Source organism: Homo sapiens, chromosome 2 (assembly GCF_000001405.40).
Source record: "Homo sapiens chromosome 2, GRCh38.p14 Primary Assembly".
Classification (NCBI taxonomy): domain Eukaryota; kingdom Metazoa; phylum Chordata; class Mammalia; order Primates; family Hominidae; genus Homo; species Homo sapiens.
The window spans coordinates 118,448,347-118,467,633 of record NC_000002.12 but is presented as its reverse complement, the minus strand read 5'-3'; the positions used below and the strand labels follow the sequence as shown (position 1 = coordinate 118,467,633).

Below are 19,287 nucleotides of genomic sequence, written 5' to 3'. Positions count from 1 at the left end.
ATTTGCAAACACTCTCTTGTTTACTCTTTTGACATATTCTTGGTTGTACCCAATATCTGGATTTTTTTCTCCTTTCAACTCTTTTTTCTCTTGGAAAGCAGTAGAAAGTCAATTATTTTTCTTATACTTCATAACACACTACCATACCAGCCCAGTATTCCACAGATCCCAGCATGAATTTTCATGCTTATTGAATAGCATCTATTTCCCAAGGTCTTTGATGCAGAGGGGACCCAGGGGATAGATTGTTCACCCTCCATATCTGCGTGTTCTGCACTCATGGATTCAACAACCAATTATGCATGGAAAATATTTGGGGAAAAAAGCATCTTTGCTCAACATGTGAAGACCATTTTTCTTGTCATTATTCCCTAAACAATAGAGTATAATGCTTACTTACATATCAGTTACATTGTATTAGGTACTATAAGTCATCTAGAGATGATTTAAATTATATAGGAGCACATGTGTAGGTTGTATGCAAATGCTATGCCATTTTATAGAAAAGATTTGAGCATCTGAGGACTTTGGCATTGACACAGGTGCTGAAATCAATCCCCCATGGATACAAATACAAAACAAAACAAAACAAAACACCATACTACATGAGGCGAGTGGAAAATCTCTTTCATCATTTCTCAAATTGGGTCTCAAGTCTTAAGACAGCCCACAGGTGTGCTAGTGGGCTGCTTTGCAGGAAGCTGGCTGAGGAACAGGGTGTCCCGGGCCCTGCTAGGACAGTAGGAGGAGGTCTGAGTCAGATCTCCCAGAAAGGATGGTGCCGACATCAGGGCTGTCCTCAGAGGCCAATAGAGAGATGGGTGATGACAAAGAAAGTCCCGGCTTGGGGCAGGACGGCTGGCACCAAGTGGCCAATATCCAGGCCAGGAGAGGTGGAAACAACTCCACTAGAGACAAATCACAAGTCACCAAAGCAGACCCTCTGCCAGCAAGGACTCCATCAGCTACTGGCTACACCGGGCCCACCTCCACCCAAAGGGATTTAAAACTTCAAATTGGGGGAACCTGAGCTCATAGTTGCTGATTTTATTTACGGCTCATATCCCTTCATTGTTCACCAGAGGCTCGTGTGTTTTAGTGTTTTGTGTTTGTGTGTGTGTGTGTGTGTGTGTGTGTGTGGTGGGGGGAGGTATTTCATTTGAATTTATTTATCAATTCTGTTTTCCTGTTTTTAAAATTAGTTTTCTGATTTTGTTTCATTATTGCCTCCTACTTGCTTTCCTTGGGGTTTGTTGTGTGCATGAATTTTTTTGTTTTATTTTGCTATTTTGAATTTCTTCATTAGATTTTTTTATCAATAATACTTTTAAAAATATTTATTCTCATAAGAAAACATATAAGCGACCAAGAAACATGAAAAAATGCTCATCATCACTAATCATCAGAGAAATACAAATCAAAGCCACAATGAGATACTGTTCTCATACCTGTCAGAATGGCTCTTGTTGAAAAGTCAAAAGATAACAGTGGGAATGTTGGTGGGAATATAACTTAGTCCAGCCACCATGGAAGGCAGTTTGGAGATTTCTCAAAGATCTAAGAGTTGAACTACCATTTGACTCAGCAGTCACATTACTGGGTGTATATGTCAAAGATATAAAGTAATTTAACCCAAAGGACACATTCACTTGTAGGTTCATCACAGAATTATTCACAATAGCAAAAACAGAATCAACCCAGGTGCCCATCAACGGTGGACTGCATAAAGAAAATGTGGTTCATATACACCATGGGATACAACACAGCCATAAAACAAAACAAAACAAAACAAAATCTTGTCCTTTGCAGCAACATGGATGCAGCTGAAGGCCTCCATCCTAAGTGAACTAATGTAGGAATAGCAAAACAAATAGCACATGTTCTGCCTTACTAGTGCAAGCTAAACATCAGGTACTCATGGACATAAAGATGGCAACAATAGACGCTGGGTATTACCAAAGCAGGAGGGAGGGAGGGAGGCAAAGGCTGAAAACCTATCTATTGGTTATTATGCTCACTACCTGGGTGACAGGTTCAATCACACCCCAAACCTCAGCATCATGCGGTATACCTTTGTAACAAACCTGCACATGTACTCCCTGATTCTAAAAGTTGAAAAAGAAAAAAAATGTAAAATGTAAATAGTTGATGCACAACAACATGAGTTTAGTACCTACTATGTGCTAGGCCTTCAACAGCACTTTGCATATATTAACTAATTTAATTCTTACAACCACTACACGATGCAGGTGCCATTTTCATTCCCATTTTCCAGATGAGTAAACTGGGGCACAAAAGGTTAAATAACTTCACAGAATCATGCAAACAGCACTTGGCAAAGTCTGGATTGAAACCCTGGGCACTCTGCCTCTAGAGTTCACCTATAAGTCACCACCTGTGTGCCAACCCGTAACAGTAATAGCCAGCATCACTTGTGGGCTTAGTGTATGCCTGGCTTTTGTTAAGTGCATTGCATTTGTTGCCTAATTTAATCCTGAAGCAGAGAATGTTATTATCCTTGTTGACAAATGAGCTAGCTAAAGCTGGAAACTCAAATTCTGGCTCTGCTTCTGAGTGCCAGACTTGGGATTTCATCCAAATGTGTCTACTGCAGAGGCTGTGTCCTACAGACCCTCTTCATTGTCTTCATATGTTTTTGAATAGTAAAAAGCTTTAAAACTATGAATTTTCTTGAGTTATTTTAAAGGAGAATTGTAAAATTCCAAAGGGGAAAAAAAATGCAAGCTAAGTTCTCCAAGCAATAATAACAATAAGATCTTGCCCTGCAGTTCTGGTTGGAGAATCGAAACAGGTACTACAGACTGTCTCCACCCGCACAGGGCTGGGGTTGCCGGCGGTCCTTAATAGAGAGCTTAGGTTTCCCAGCTCTGGGCTCACAGCGGACTTGGAACTTTACCCACCAGGTCTGATTGAACTTTAATGACTCTTTTCTGTTTGGATGCTCACGCCCAGAGACCTGCAGGTCATAGGTGTGTGTCTGTAAATCAAGTGATGAAGAAATAAGAATTGGTGAAGACCAGGCTTACCCCAGGAGAGCCTGCGGGGATCCCATCAGCCGCTGGGATTGCGCAGCTCCCTGGGGTTGGGCACCTCATCATGGAGAGACAGATTGAAGAATTAACTCCTCTGCAGCTGGAGGATATGAGGCTGAAGGCTCCTACTGCTACGTCTTGTCATAAACTTAAGTGTCACATTGGGAGGTGATGCTTAGGGTTATGACAGCAGTAGCCTTCTTTCCCCTCTCCTCATCACCATAAGAAGAGGAAAAACAAAACTGAAAAGGAAAACAAAAAGCAAAGGAAAGCTAGCATTTCTTGATCACTTACCAAAGCCACATATGATTTCATTTAATACTCAGCTGTGGCTGGGTCCAGTTAATCCAACTGCAGTGATTCTGCACTTGTGATGGGACTTGGGCAGAGGAAGGGAACCTAAGACCATGATGGACGCGGAGCCACACTGGAAGAGAAAGAAGGAGTCAGAGAACAAGCAAGAGCCTCAGCATCAGGAGACTCAGCCTTCTGAGCATTGCCTTGGCTGTGGTCATCACACCGTGTCCTAAGAAAAATTTGCCTGACTTAAAAATAGAGATAGTACATTTTTAAAGAAAACAAAAAATAACCTTTAATCCCACAGCTTGAAATAACTCCAGCTGGTATAGGAGAAAAATGAAAATACACATGCGTGCTTAGAAAATCCAATGTATAGCGAAAGGAAGAAAATGGAAGGTAATCTTCCCCTCTTTTTACTTTCAACATTAGTAAAAATTTTTGTTTTTTACAAGAAAGACATGCATGTATCAGTATTTATGATTCTCTCTGTATATATATATATAAAATACATATTCTGTATATTTTTGCACAATATATTTATACATTATGGTCACACAAAACATATATTTAACACGAGACTATAATATGCCACGATATACCATTCATCTCTGTGTGATATTTCATTCTAATATCACATAAGCACAAACCTTATAATTCATTCTTTTTACCAGTTGCATATTTGCTCACCATATGGATATATCATAAATAAGTTTTAGTGAGTACCCTACTGATGGACACTTTGTTTCCACTTTTATTTTCCTCCTCCCCCTTCAAAATTACAAACAACATGGCAGTGAATAAACTTGTATATCTGTTCTGGAATTGTTTACAAAAATATGCATATGTTCCAAAGATAAATTCCTACAAGTGATCTTAGCAGCCAAAGGAAGCAAACATGCATTTCCACTTCTGGTAGATATCACCAAATTGTTGTCTAGAAAGGTTATACTAACTTAAATGTCCATCAATAGTGCATGAAGCCCATTTTTCCACACAATTGCCAGCACCAGATACCATGAAACTCTTTAATTTTTGCCCAGATGATAAATTATGAAAATTACTGCTGCTTTTATTAAAATATGAGAGAAATTGTTCATGTTTTTCATTAGTTGCTTATTCACAAACTTTGCACATTTGTTTCTGTTGGATGTTACTTTATTTCTTATTGAATTTTATGAGCTCTTTGTTAATTAAAAAATTTAGCCCTTTGTGATGTAACACTTCCTTTTTTTGTCTTTTCACTTTCTGTATATAACTTTGCTTACAGATTTATTCATTTATTTATTTTAATAGATGGGGTCCCATTAGGTTGCCCAGGTTGGAGTACAGTGACTATTCACAGGAGTGACTATCCCATACTATACCCCTGAACTCGTGGGCTCAAGTGATCTTCCTGCCTTAGCCTCCTCAGTAGCTGGAACTACAGGTGGATGCCACCAAGCCTGGCCAGGTTTTAAATTTTAAATCACCAACAGTATCATTTGATTATTTTATGGTCTCTCAATTATGTATCTGCTTTATAAAAGCTTGTTAATTTTTTGTTTTCTGAAACTTATATAGCTTTGTATTGTCAAATGTTTAAATCTTCACTCCAATTGTAATATCTTTTGTTAAAAGGAGTAATCTAGCTTATTTCTCCAAGTTCTTGCAAAATCATGAAAAAAAATCTCTCTTTCTCCCACTGATTTTTAAATGTTATTTTGTCTTGTATTTAGGACCCACATATATTTGTGTCTATTTCTGTTCTCTTCATTCTATTTCGGTATGGAAGGCCTGTGCATGCGTATCTGGGTTAGTGTGGGTGGGGGTGATTTTCTACCCCTGAATTTATTTTCTCCAAGTATTTTATTTATTATAACTGCAAAATGCATTTTAATATCTGGTAAAAGTTGCCTCCTCTCATTTTCCTTTTTTTTTGGATGTTTGTTTTTTCAGGTGAATTTTGCATAACTTTGTTAAGTTTCAAAAAATTTTGATAACAACAACTACAAAAATCCTTTTGGTGTTATAATTACATTTACATTTTGAAATTAATTTTGAGACAGATGGTGTCTTTATAAAATTGAGGCTTTCTATGCCAAGAGGCTAGTGCATCTTTTGTTGGTACGTAACTATTTTTGAGACTCTTGCGTTTAAAGTTTTCTTTATTTGGGACCTGCACATATGCTAAATAAGTTAGCATGTAGATATTATATCTTTGGTTGACATTGTTAATGAAATTTTTATTCTATTTATATTATTATATAAATATATATTACATGATATAGTATTTATATCTATTATTTCTTTATTTTGTCTAATTGAAATGGTAACCACTTCCAGTATAATATTAAATAATAATTATAATGATAACCATTCCCAGCTTTAAAGAAGACATTCTACTATTTGCCACTAAGCATGATTCTCACTTTTGGTTTGGTATACACACACACACACACACACACACACACACACACACACACGACATTTATCTAATCCCATTTTTTTAAGACTTTCTGTTGTGTTTCTCATAATTAGAAACGAACGTTTCTTCTATATTTTATCATATTAAGGACTTACCTATATATTCCTGCTTTTGAGTGTTTTTTTAAAAATCAGGGATGAACTTGGTCAAGCTCTTCTAATACATGTTAAGATTATCAGATTTGTTTTGACATAATAATGTGATGTATTATATCAACAGATATTCAAATCTTAAGTTCTCTCGTGTCTTCTAGGGTTGAATCTTAGTTGGTTGAAGCAAATTACTCTTCTTTCTGTAATCCTGAATAGTTTCCAATGTGCTAACATTTTATTAATTCACATTATGTTTATGTTTATATTTGTGAATGATATTCACCTATAATTTGTGCCTGTGCATGTATATCTGGGTGAGTGTGGGTGGGGGGGAATTGTCAGTATCAGGGTGTACATATTTCAGCTGTTTACTAATCTCACCTTCACTAGCCTTTGAACCCCCTAAGATGAAAAACTGCGTCTGATTCATGCTTGACTCTCTGGCACCAAGCACAGTGCTCAGTACTGAGATGGCACTCAATATTTGTTTGAAGAGTTGAGTTGGTGGTAGATAAAATAAAGTGTTAGTAGTATAAGCCTATTCCTAAAACCATAGGAGGTATACTTATACTGAATAATTATTTATTGCCTATCTGAAATGAAGATTTTAACTGGATGTCTTTTACTTTTTTTGCTAAATCTGGCAACTCTAGTTTTTGGAATAAAGAAAGCAATGATCTGGTCAACATCATGTACTAGAATGATAATGACTGATACAACCAATCACATTGATCTCTCAGAGGGACTCTGAAGGGTGCAGCAACACAGGCTTGCTAGACCTGGGAGCCTCTGGGGGTGCCTGTGGAGGAGCTGCTTGTGGGAGTTTCACCTGGCATCCCTGGACATGGGGGATAGGTCTGTCTCATGACTTGAGTACTCACCTGGCTTTGGGATATTACTACAATACAAAGAAAATAAAAAAGGAGACCACGCTGGGTTTATAGCAATGACTAATGCAATAAAATAGAAAAACAAGTAAATGGGCATGTTTAGTGAATGAAAGTAGTGATTTTCTTTTTGTTAATTTTGCCTTTGGCACTTGGCTGAGACAGCCAGACTGAAGCTCCTAGACCTTGTCATGCTCAGTGGAAACAATAGCAAGCCAACAAAGACTTAAGTGTAGGCTTATAGACATCAAGTCATCCTTAATTAGGCCTGGAGAAAACCATTTGCTGGGCGAGCCTGGTGGAGGCCGGGCAGGCAGCTGCCCTGCCTTTTTCTAAACTCAGCCTGGGGAGGCGTCGGGCTGCAGCTCCATGCCACCCTGTCCTGCATGGTGATGGACAGAGTGAAGGGGGCACATTTGGCTGCTCAGTGGATGAAGAACTGTCATTGGAGGGGATTTCCTGGACAAGAAAAAAACTTTAGGAACCTCAGTAATGGGAAAGAAGCAACAATGCCAAAGCTTCCTGTTGGCTGGGAACATTTGGAGATGATAAACACTCAATCTCATTAGCTTTGTTTTATAGCCAGAAAAAGCCCTATTTCTTAGTCCTTCATAATGTGTCCCCTTGCTACTTCTCAGCCTTATCTCTCAGCATTGCCCACCTTGCAGAGCACATTCTCGTCATGATGGATTTTTTTATTTCCTAGGAGGCATCAAGTTCCCAGCTCTGGACCTTTGAGCATGCTTCCGGTTCTGCTTTGAGGCCTCTCTGGCCATGATTGCTTCCCTAATGACCACTGCTTCAGAGAGACCTGCCCCAACTCCACCCGCTGCAGTGGCATGGTTGTGCCTCTGCACTCTGACAGAAGACTGGCTATGCAGCTGTCCAGTGTTGAACACAGCCTTGCATTGTAATTGCTTAAATGTCTGTTTCTCCAACTGCTCTATGACCTTGTTAAAGATGGGAACCATGTCTTAGTTTGCTTACCCCTGACATAGAGGAGCCTCAATAAATAATAAATCTTAAAAGTTTAATAAATAATGGTCCAGGCTTTTCCCAAAGACAAAGAAGGAAGGAGTTCCCAGTGAATTGGGCACAGTCCTAAACTGAGTGAGTTAGTCTACAATGGTGGACATTTTATTCCACTGATTTGTGGATTGTGGTCAATTGTGAATACTTAGAATGGGTTCAGCCCTCTGCTGGCTGCTGTGTGACATGTGAAGACAGAGATGAGACACATGACTTCCAGCACATTGTCATCCGCAGTCCAGTAGAGTGTACATAAGCATAGAAAACAGCTATTAATAGTAAGGCAACCTGTTTTTAGAAACTTATAAGATAATGCATTTACCCAGCCATCAATCCATAAGAAAATACTCAGGTATTTCTTAGGAATAGCTAGGTGCTTGTAAAGAAAGAATCATGTATTGAAAAGAAAGCCAACTCAGGTTTGAATACAGGATCTACTATTCACACATTGTGTGAATTCGGACAAGTTAAGAAACCTCAGTTGAACCCCAGTTTCTTAATATATAAAATGAGATCATAATAAAAGATGAGGCTCAAATGAGATTATGCCTATGAAGCACTTAACACTATACCTGACATTTGGTAGTATCTCAAGACATGATAGTTGATGTCATTCTGCAGGATGTTCAACCTCGAGATATTGTGAATGCTCAGGTATTTGATGTTACATAAACAAGAACAGTAGAATATGAACATTTTCTGTTATTTTTTGTGGTAATTTATTTTTTAACTGTGGAAACACATTGTGGGCTCATCTGCCACACTTCTATGATAGTGGGGGTCGTTTTTAGTACTCACTCCTGAATCCTGTGAATTGCCTTAGTTCCTAGAGGGCCAAACCAAGGCATTGCATATCTGGATAAATGTTACCAACAGCCAAGTTCAAGTTTCTACAGGCTCCTTTTGTCTCATACTTGCTCATCCACTGCTCTTCTCAGTGGTGGAGAGGTGGGGTCAGAGGATGGGAGGCAGGGAGATCTGGTTTGCTAAAGAAGACACAAACCTGAGAGTTTCCTACCGCTGTGTGTCACCAAAACACAGATTCTCTGCACAGATTTAGATTTTCTTCTTATATTGTGTGGGAGAGGCTGCTATTCTCTATCTGTCTTTAGGGGAAACAGGAAAGAAACCCCTCTGGACATCCAGGGTCACTCAGAATTCACTCGCTTAATACTTCTGGGTGTAATTATTGTATCCCCCCTCCTGAGGGGGTGTCCTCAGCACCTCCCACTCTTCCTTGCTTACTCATTAACTTCTGTCTTTTCCAATGGATGTGAGCCCCTTTGGGACACAAGCAGTGTCTGGGTCACCTATATTCTCAGCACCTAGTGTAGTACCTGCCACAGAGGAAACACTCAACAAATATCTGATAAACAAATGAAAAACATGAACAAATGAATCAAGCAACAAAGAAATATTTTAACTTTTAAAGCATGGTTTTATTCTCTTTCTGGGAGATCATTTGCATCTGGGAACAGTCTACCTAGAATTGTCCCCATTTCTGTCTGTTATGACACTTTAGACAACACTTGCTTCTATACCAGAATCAGTATCCATAAAGCTTGCATGGGATTCCAAAGGCATTCCCATGCGCATGCCAGAGCCAGCTGTGTCTTTGGCCAGGCAGCTAAGGAGGAGCTGGAGGATCCCAGCCACCCAGCTGTCCTGGTGCTGTGACTCCCAGAGCCTGGACGCACACATCTGCCTGGAAGCATCTGCCATGCACACACTGTTTCTACTGGCCCTGGCTCCAGTCTCCCTCTGGGAGATTTTCCCTGACTTCCCCAATTACATGAGCATCTTCACACATGTCCGCACATACCAGATGCTCTTTTCAGATGTTCCAGGTCAGAACTGTTTCTTTGCAAAATTGTAATGTTCCCTCAAATTTTCACTTTATATTCCTCCTTCTCAACATAGGTGTTTTATCTTCTGTCTGTCCCACTAAATGGTGGGACCATCTCTCAGCAACACAGAGTATCTTCATAGCTCATAAACACCTTATTCTGAACAGCTCCCTCTCATGTTCACTTCTGTCTCACTGAAATCAGGGTTAAATTTATCTCATCAGGCAAGATGGCCAAATAGGAACAGCTCCAGTCTGCAGCTCCCAGCAAGATCAATACAGAAGGTGGGTGATTTCTGCATTTCTAACTGAGGTACCTGGCTGATCTCACTGGGACTGGTTAGACAGTGGGTGCAGCCCACGGAGGGCAAGCTGAAGCAGGGGGGGCATCACCTCACCCAGAAAGCACAAGGGGTCAGGGAACTCCCTCCCCTAGCCAAGGGAAGCCATGAGGGACTATGCCATGAGGAACAGTGCGTTCCTGCCCAGATACTACACTTTTCCCACGGTCTTTGCAACCTGCAAACCAGGAGATTCCCTCAGGTGCCTACACCACCAGGGCCCTAGGTTTCAAGCACAAAACTAGCCAACCATTTAGGCAGACACCGAGCCAGCTGCAGGAGTTTTTTTTCATAATCCAGTGGCACCCGGAATGCCAGTGAGAGAGAACCATTCACTCCTCTGGAAAGGGGACTGAAGCCAGGGAGCCAAGTCTTCTAGCTCAGCAGATCCCATCCCCATGGAACCCAGCAAGCTAAGATCCACTGGCTTGAAATTCTCACCGCCAACACAGCAGTCTGAAGTCCACCTGGGACACTCAAGCTTGGTGTGGGGCTGGGGTGTCTGCCATTACTGAGGCTTGAGTAGATGGTTTTCCCTTCACAGTGTAAACAAAGCCGCTGGGAAGTTTGGACTGGGTGGAACCCATTGCAGCTCAGCAAAGCCCTTGTAGCCAAACTGCCTTTCTAGATTCCTCCTCTCTAGGCAGGGCATCTCTGAAAGAAAGGCAACAGCCCCAGTCAGGGGCTTATAGATAAAACCCCCATCTCCCTGGGACAGAGCACCTGGGGGAAGGGATGGCTGTGGTTGCAGCTTCAGCAGACTTAAACATTCCTGCCTGCTGGCTCTGAAGAGAGCAGCAGTTCTCCCATTACAGCACTCAGGCTCTGCTAAGGGACAGACTGCCTCCTCAAGTGAGTCCCTGACCCCTGTGCCTCCTGACTGGGAGACACCTCCGGGCAGGGGTCGACAGCCACCTTATACAGGAGAGCTCTGGCTGGCATCTGGCAGGTGCCCCTCTGGGACCAAGCTTCCAGAGGAACAGGCAGCAATCTTTGCTGTTCTGCAGCCTCCGCTGGTGATACCCAGGCAAACAGGATCTCGAGTGGACCTCCAGCAAACTCCAGCAGACCTGCAGCAGAGGGCCCTGACTGTTAGAAGGAAAACTAACAAACAGAAAGGAATAGCATCAACATCAACAAAAAAGATGTCCACACAAACCCCATCCGAAGGTCACCAACATAAAAGACCAAGGGTAGATAAATCCATGAAGATGAGGAAAAACCAGTGCAAAAAGGCTGAAAAATTCCAAAACTCTGCTTCTCCTCCCAAGGATCACAACTCCTCACCAGCAAGAGAACAAAACTGGATCGAGAACGAGTTTGACAAATTGACAGAAGTGGGCTTCAAAAGGTGGGTAATAACAAACTCCTCCGAGCTAAAGGATCATGTTCTAAACCAACGCAAGGAAGCTAAGAACCTTGAAAAAAGGTTAGAGGAATTGCTAACTAGAATAACCAGTTTGGAGAAGAACATAAATGACCTGATGGAGCTGAAAAACACAGCATGAGAACTTCATGAAGCATACACAAGTATCAATAGATGAATCAATCAAGCAGAAGAAAGGATATCAGAGATTGAAGATCAACTTAATGAAATAAAGTGTGAATACAACATTAGAGAAAAAAGAATGAAAAGGAACGAACAAAGCCTCCAAGAAATATGGTACTATGTGAAAAGACCGAACCTATGTTTGATTGGCGTACCTAAAAGTGATGGGGAGAATGGAACCAAGTTGGAAAGCACTCTTCAGGCTATTATCCAGGAGAACCTCCCCAACCTAGCAAGACAAGCCGACATCCAAATTCAGGAAATACAGAGAATACCACAAAGATACTCGTCAAGAAGAACAACCCCAGACACATAATCATCAGATTCTCCAAGGATGAAATGAAGGAAAAAATGTTAAAGGCAGCCAGAGAGAAACATCAGGTTACTGACAAAGGATAGCCCATCAGACTAACAGTGGACCTCTCTGCAGAAACCCTACAAGCCAGAAGAGAGTGGGGGCCAATATTCAACATTCTTAAAGAAAATAATTTTCAACCCAGGATTTCATATCCAGCCAAACTAAACTTCATAAGTGAAGAAGAAATAAAATCCTTTACAGACAACCAAATGCTGAGAGATTTTGTCACCGCCAGGCCTGCCTTACAAAAGCTCCTGAAGGAAGCACTAAATATGGAAAGGAAAAACTGGAACCAGTCACTGCAAAACCATGCCAAATGGTAAAGACCATCAACCCTATGAAGAAACTCCATCAACTAATGGGCAAAATAACCAGCTGGCATCATAATGACAGGATCAAATTCACATGTAACAATATTAACCTTAAATATAAATGGGTGGCTAAATGCCCCAATTAAAAGACATAGACTGGCAAATTGGATAAAGATTCAAGACCCATCAGTGCTGTATTCAGGAGATGCATCTCACATGCAAAGACACATGTAGGCTCAAAATAAAGGGATGGAGGAATATTTACCAAGCAAATGGAAAGCAGGGGTTGCAATCCTAGTATCTGATAAAACAGACTGTAAACCAACAAATATCCAAAGAGACAAAGAAGGGCATTATATAATGGTAAAGGGATCAATGGAACAAGAAGAGCTAACTATCCAAAATATATAAGCACCCAATACAGGAGCACCCAGATTCATAAAGCAAGTTCTTAGAGACCTACAAAGAGACTTAGACTCCACACAACAATAGTGGGAGACTTTAACACTCCACTGTCAATATTAGATCGACGAGACAGAAAATTAACGAGAATATTCAGGACCTGAACTCAGCTCTGGACCAAGCAGATCTAATAGACATCTACAGAACTCTTCACCCCAAATCAACAGAATATACATTCTTCTCAGCACCACATTGCACCTATTCTAAAACTGACCACATAAATGGAAGTAAAACACTCCTCAGCAAATGCAAAAGAATGGAAATCATAACAAACAGTCTCTCGGACCACAGTGCAATCAAATGAGAACTCAGGATTAAGAAACTCACTCAAAACTGCACAACTACATGGAAACTGAATAACTTGCTCCTGAATGACTACTGGGTAAATAACAAAATTAAGGCAGAAATAAATAAATTCTTTGAAACCAATGAGAACAAAGACACAATGTACCACAATCTCTGGGACACAGCTAAAGCAGTGTTTAGACAGAAATGTATAGCACTAAAAGCCCACAGGAGAAAACTGAAAAGATCTAAAATTAACACCCTAACATCACAATTAAAAGAACTACAGAAGCAAGAGCAAACACATTCAAAAGCTAGCAGAAGGCAAGAAATAACTAAGATCAGAGCAGAACTGAAGTAGATAGAGACATGAAAAACCCTTCAAAAAAATCAATGAATCCAGGAGCTGGTTTTTTGAAAAGATTAACAAAATAGATAGACTGCTAGCCAGACTAATAAAGAAGAAAAGAGAGAAGAATCAAATAGACACAATAAAATATGATAAAGGGGATATCACCACTGATCCCACAGAAATACAAACTATCATCAGAGAATACTATAAACACCTTTATGAAAATAAACTAGAAAATATAGAAGAAATGGATAAATTCCTGGATGCATACACCCTTTCCAGACTAAACCAGGAAGAAGTCAAATCCCTGAATAGACCAATAGCAAGTTTTGAAATAGAGGCAATAATTAATACCCTACCAACCAAAAAAAGCCCAGGACCAGACGGATTCACAGCTGAATTCTACCAAAGGTACAAAGAGGAGCTGGTACCATTCCTTCTGAAACTATTCCAAACAATAGAAAAAGAGGGACTCCTCCCTAACTCATTTTATGAGGCCATCATCATCCTGATACCAAAACCTGGCAGAGACACAACAAAAAAGAGAATTTCAGACCAATATCTCTGATGAACATCGATGCAAAAATCCTCAATAAAATACTGGCAAACTGAATCCAGCAGTACATCAAAAAGCTTATCCACCACGATCAAGTTGGCTTCATCCCTGGGATGCAAGCCTGGTCCAACATACACAAATCAATAAACGTAATCCATTACATAAACAGAACCAATGACAAAAACCACATGATTATCTCAATAGATGCAAAAAAGGGCTTCGATAAAATTCAACACCCCTTCAAGCTAAAAACTCTCAATAAATGAGGTATTGATGGAACAGATCTCAAAATAATAAGAACTATTTATGACCAACCCACAGCCAATATCATACTGAATGGGAAAAAACTGGAAGCATTCCTTCTGAAAAGCAGCACAAGACAAGGATGCCCTCTCTCACCACTTATATTCGACATAGTTTTGGAAGTTCTGGCCAGGCAATCAGGCAAGAGAAAGAAATTAAGGGTATTCAAATCGGAAAAGAGGAAGTCAAATTGTCCATGTCTGCAGATGACATGATTGTATATTTAGAAAACCCTATTGTCTCAGCCCAAAATCTCCTTAAGCTGATAAGCAACTTCAGCAAAGTCTCAGGATACAAAATCAATGTGCAAAAATCACAAGCACTCCTATACACCAATAATAGACAAAGAGACAAATCATGAGTGAACTCCCATTCACAATTGCTACAAAGAGAATAAAATACCTAGGAATCCAACTTACAAGGGATGTGGAGGACCTCTTCAAGGAGAACTACAAACCACTGCTCAAGAAAATAAGAGAGGACACAAACAAATGGAAGAATATTCCATGCTCATGGGTAGGAAGAATCAATATCATGAAAATGTCCATACTGCCCAAAGTAATTTATAGATTCAATGCTATCCCCATCAAGCTACCATTGACTTTCTTCACAGAATTAGAAAAACTACTTTAAATTTCATATGGAATCAAAAAAGAGCCTGTATAGCCAAGACAATTCTAAGCAAAAAGAACAAAGCTGGGGGCATCATGCTACCTGACTTCAAACTATACTACAAGGCTACAGTAATCAAAATAGCATGGTACTGGTATCAAAACAGATATATAGACCAATGGAACAGAACAGAGGCCTCAGAAATAATGCCACACATCTACAACCATCTGGTCTTTGACAAACCTGACAAAAACAAGAAATGGGGAAAGATTCCCTATTTAATAAACACTGTTGGGAAAACTGGCTAGCCATATGCAGAAAACTGAAACTGGACCCCTTCTTTACACCTTATACAAAAATTAACTCAAGATGGATTAAAGACTTAAATGTAAAGCCTAAGACCATAAAAACCCTAGAAGAAAACCTAGGCAATATCATTCAGGACATAGGCATGGGCAAATACTTCAAGACTAAAACATCAAAAGCAATGACAACAAAAGCCAAAATTGACATATGGGATCTGATTAAACTAAAGAGCTTCTGCACAGCTAAAGAAACTACCATCAGAGTGAACAGGCAACCTACAGAATGGGAGAAAATTTTTGTAGTCCATCCATCTGACAAAGGGCTAATATCCAGAATATACAAGGAACTTAAACAAATATACAAGAAAAAAACAAACAACCCCATCAAAAAGTAGGTGAAGGCTATGAACAGACACTTCTCAAAAGAAGACATTTATGCAGCCAACAAACATATGAAAAAAAGCTCATCATCACTTGTCATTAGAGAAATGGAAATCAAAGCCACAATGAGATGCCATCTCACACCAGTTAAATTGCGATCATTAAAAAGTCAGGAAATAATAGATGCTGGAGAGGATGTGGAGAAATGGGAACACTTTTACACTGTTCATGGGAGTGTAAATTAGTTCAAACATTGGGGAAGACAGTGTGGTGATTCCTCAAGGATCTAGAACCAGAAATACCATTTGACTCAGCCATCCATTACTGGGTATATACCCAAAGAATTATAAATCATTCTATTATAAAGACACATGCATACATATGTTTATTGCAGCATTATTCACAATACCAAAGACTTAGAACCAACCCAAATGCCCATCAATGATAGATTGGGTAAAAAAAATGTGGTGCATATACACCATGGAATACTATGCAGCCATAAAAACGATGAGTTCATGTCCTTTGCAGGGACATGGATGAAGCTGGAAACCATCATTCTCAGCAAACTAACACAGGAACAACAAACCTAACAACACATGTTCTCACTCATAAGTGGGAGTTGAACAACAAGAACACATGGACACAGGGAGGGGAACATCACACACCAGTGCCTGTCAGGGGGTGGGGAGCTAGGGGAGGGACAGCATTAGGAGAAATGCCTAATGTAGATGACAAGGCGATGGGTGCAGCAAACCAGTAGGCACATGTATACATATGTAACACATGTATCCCAGAACTTAAAGTATAATAAAAAAAAAAAATTCTCATCCAAGGTATTATGGTATTAGACTTTTGAAAAGAAAATGTGATATGATATTTGACTATAACAGTTTTTTTTTCTGAAAAGAGAGTAACAACAGACATTTCAAGATAGTAAAGAAGATAAAGATGATATTTTTAGAAAAGCAACGTGGGAGGTTCCTGAATGGATGTCGCCTAGGGTCTGCGCCGGCGTGCTGAGAAGACTTATCCTAATGCCAGGACTGTGCTCACTAAGCATTTGACAGACGAGAGATGAGCGATGCCAAGGTAGGTAGAAACATTAAGGAAATCCGAATGTTTTTACAAGTTGTCCAAGAGCAAAGAGAAATCCAAACTTGCCTGAGAACCCTGGACTGTTATTTCTTAATGATGATGATGAGAGAGATCTGCTTAGTAACTAAATATCATGCATTAGATGTGCCTCATCATGGGTTGAGGGCACTTGGAGACTTTGTTTACATCTCATTTCCTTTGTTTTGGAATTCTGTGGAAAGTTCTGCTCATTATTCATTTTTTTTTTTGAAGAGTTCAAAACTCTATTCTGAAAAGGTGACTGATCCAGCCTACTTGAATGATGCTGAGACTTCTTGAGTACACGAAAGAATCAGTGGGAGGTGACGTCCTAGTGTGTCCAAAGGAAGATTGCATTCACTCGCTATTTAAAAGCCAAAAAACATTGGCAAAAAAAAAAAATCTCAGGAAAATTGTGTTGTAATGTTAAGCTTTAGGCAAAGCCATCTCCTCTTAACTCATATACATAGCTAAGATGGATAAAATACAAAAATTACAAAGATAAAGCTATGCTCAAAAACATGCCATTTCCACAGAGCAAAAAAGAACAGAAATACAAAATGCAAACGGGTTAGAAATGATGAAGCAGGGACCTACTGAACTCCAGGTCTAGAAAAAGATAAAGGTGAGAAGAAATTTGTGTCCTGTGGCTAACAAGCTGAAAACATCCCCCACCCCCAAACACACACACATGAAACAGGAGAGCAGAACTGAGCTCCTTGGTTGAGAGCAGACACTGAGGCAGTTCATCCCTACCCATAACAGAAAGCTGGAGAAGTTGTCCACATTGACCTGGGGACAGAAGTCTATAGTAAAGACTTAAGATAAGCATTTTTGCTGGCTTATAATTCCTAGGGGAATGAGAACCCCACACCATCAATATAAAAACATGGTTCTTGTCTTAAGGGTTGCCAAGGGGAGAGAGGGAGGTAATTTCAAAGCCCCTAGCTGCTAAGTGATGAGCAGGAAGAAACAGAGAGAGAGAGAGCAAGACTGAAAAAAAAAATCTTATCCAAATGAGCTTGAAAATCAAAATTATATATATATATAAAAGAAAATAAATGATAAAAATGATGTTTGAAAATTAAATTAGACTTTTTACCCCAAATAAAATGAGAATAAGAAGAAATCTGAAAATGACTTTAAAATATGATTATGTTCTGAGAAAGACTGTAGTTGGTAGTTGTAGACTACCAATTTTACTGTAACAGCTAAAAATCCAGATAGATTGCAAAAGTTGTGCTTTTAAAGATACTAGAGTGCTGTAGAAATGAAGAGAATTAAATGAACTAAAATTCCAGAGAAGAGAAATTCTTTCTGATGAGAGTAGTCAGTTATTGGCTGTTTCTTTCCTCTGGGTGCATTTGCCAATTTTGTATTTGGTTGAGGACCAGATCTAACAAACACAAAGGGATTTGTTAGAGAAAAGAGAAATGAGCAAAGCTTTTGGAAGTTGTGCAGGGCTGGCACGACAATTTAGAAACCTTGGGAGCCATTAATGCACAGCTGGCTTTCGCTATGTTTCATTTTCTAAATTCTAAGGCTGTACAAAAGGCTATGGGATTTTGACAAAGTGGGATAAAATCTCTTGATCTCACAGTATTTGGGAGAAAATTTCCTGCTTGAGGAGTGTGGCCCACTGCAAACATACACCTACTCTCCTCTCCAAAATATTTTCCAAATTTCCAAAGGGGCAAAAATCCAAACCTTCGAAGGTTGAGACTGAATTTTTCCCAGTGTTCTAAGATTGAAAAGATAGAAACCAGCAGCCTGTCAATCAAAAGTTCAAGAGAGATACATCCAAGAAATGGAGAGGAAACAGAGGTGAATGAAATAAATCTTAGCAAAACTGCAACCAGCCTTAACCTAGCTTACGCTGTGATTAGATCAAGGTGGTCGGCCCCTTACTAATATGCCTAACATAAGGGACAGAGAGCTCTCTCTTGTGAAAGATATTATCTGTAGCCTCTACAATTCCTTTTAATAAAATGTCTGGCATATAACAAAAAAGGTACTAGATATGCGAATCTACATAAATAATCAAATGGACCTTCTAGTATTACAAAATACAATATCCAAAGTTAAGAATTTTAGAAATAAATTTAAAGATATGTGAGTAGAAATATCCAATCTGAAGCTCAAAGAGAAAAACGAATGGAGAATCAAAGTCGAGCATAAGAGACGTAAAGGAAATAATGTAAAGGACTGAAGTACCTGTAACTAGAGTCTCACAGGAGAGGAGAGAGAATAAGGACAGGCACTATTTCTAGAGAAAATTTTGCAAAGCTGATGAGAAATATTAATCTACGGATTCAGAAACCTTAAGCAATGTAGATACAGAAAAAAACACACTTGAGGTTATAGTGAAGCAGCTGGAAGACGCAGGCAGAGAGATAAATATCAAAGCATGAAGAAGGGGTGGAAAAGGGTATGTTACTTCCAAATGATCAGCAATGAGGCTGGAGGCTAACTTTCCAATAGAAACTATGAAAGTCAGAAAACAGTAAAATAACATATTTAAGATGCTAAAAAGGAATATTCCAACCTAGAATTTTCTTCTCACCAAAAATATTTTTTTACAAACTTAAGCTGAAAAAGAACCTACCTACTAGAGATCTTAGAAATGAAGTATAGACATTCAAATACAATACTTAGTAGACAAGATTCCAAAACAAACTATAGATTGGA

At 39.5% G+C, this 19,287-nt stretch overlaps 1 long non-coding RNA gene across 1 annotated transcript in view; it reads left to right on the top strand.

The window, feature by feature from the left end:
* LOC105373579 (uncharacterized) overlaps positions 1-7,829 on the top strand; it is a 33,603-nt gene extending 25,774 nt beyond the window's left edge. Inside the window, exon 3 of the long non-coding RNA XR_923251.3 lies at positions 7,503-7,829. This is a non-coding gene — a long non-coding RNA (uncharacterized LOC105373579). The remainder of the gene's footprint in view (positions 1-7,502) is intronic.
* Positions 7,830-19,287: the final 11,458 nt, after the last annotated feature.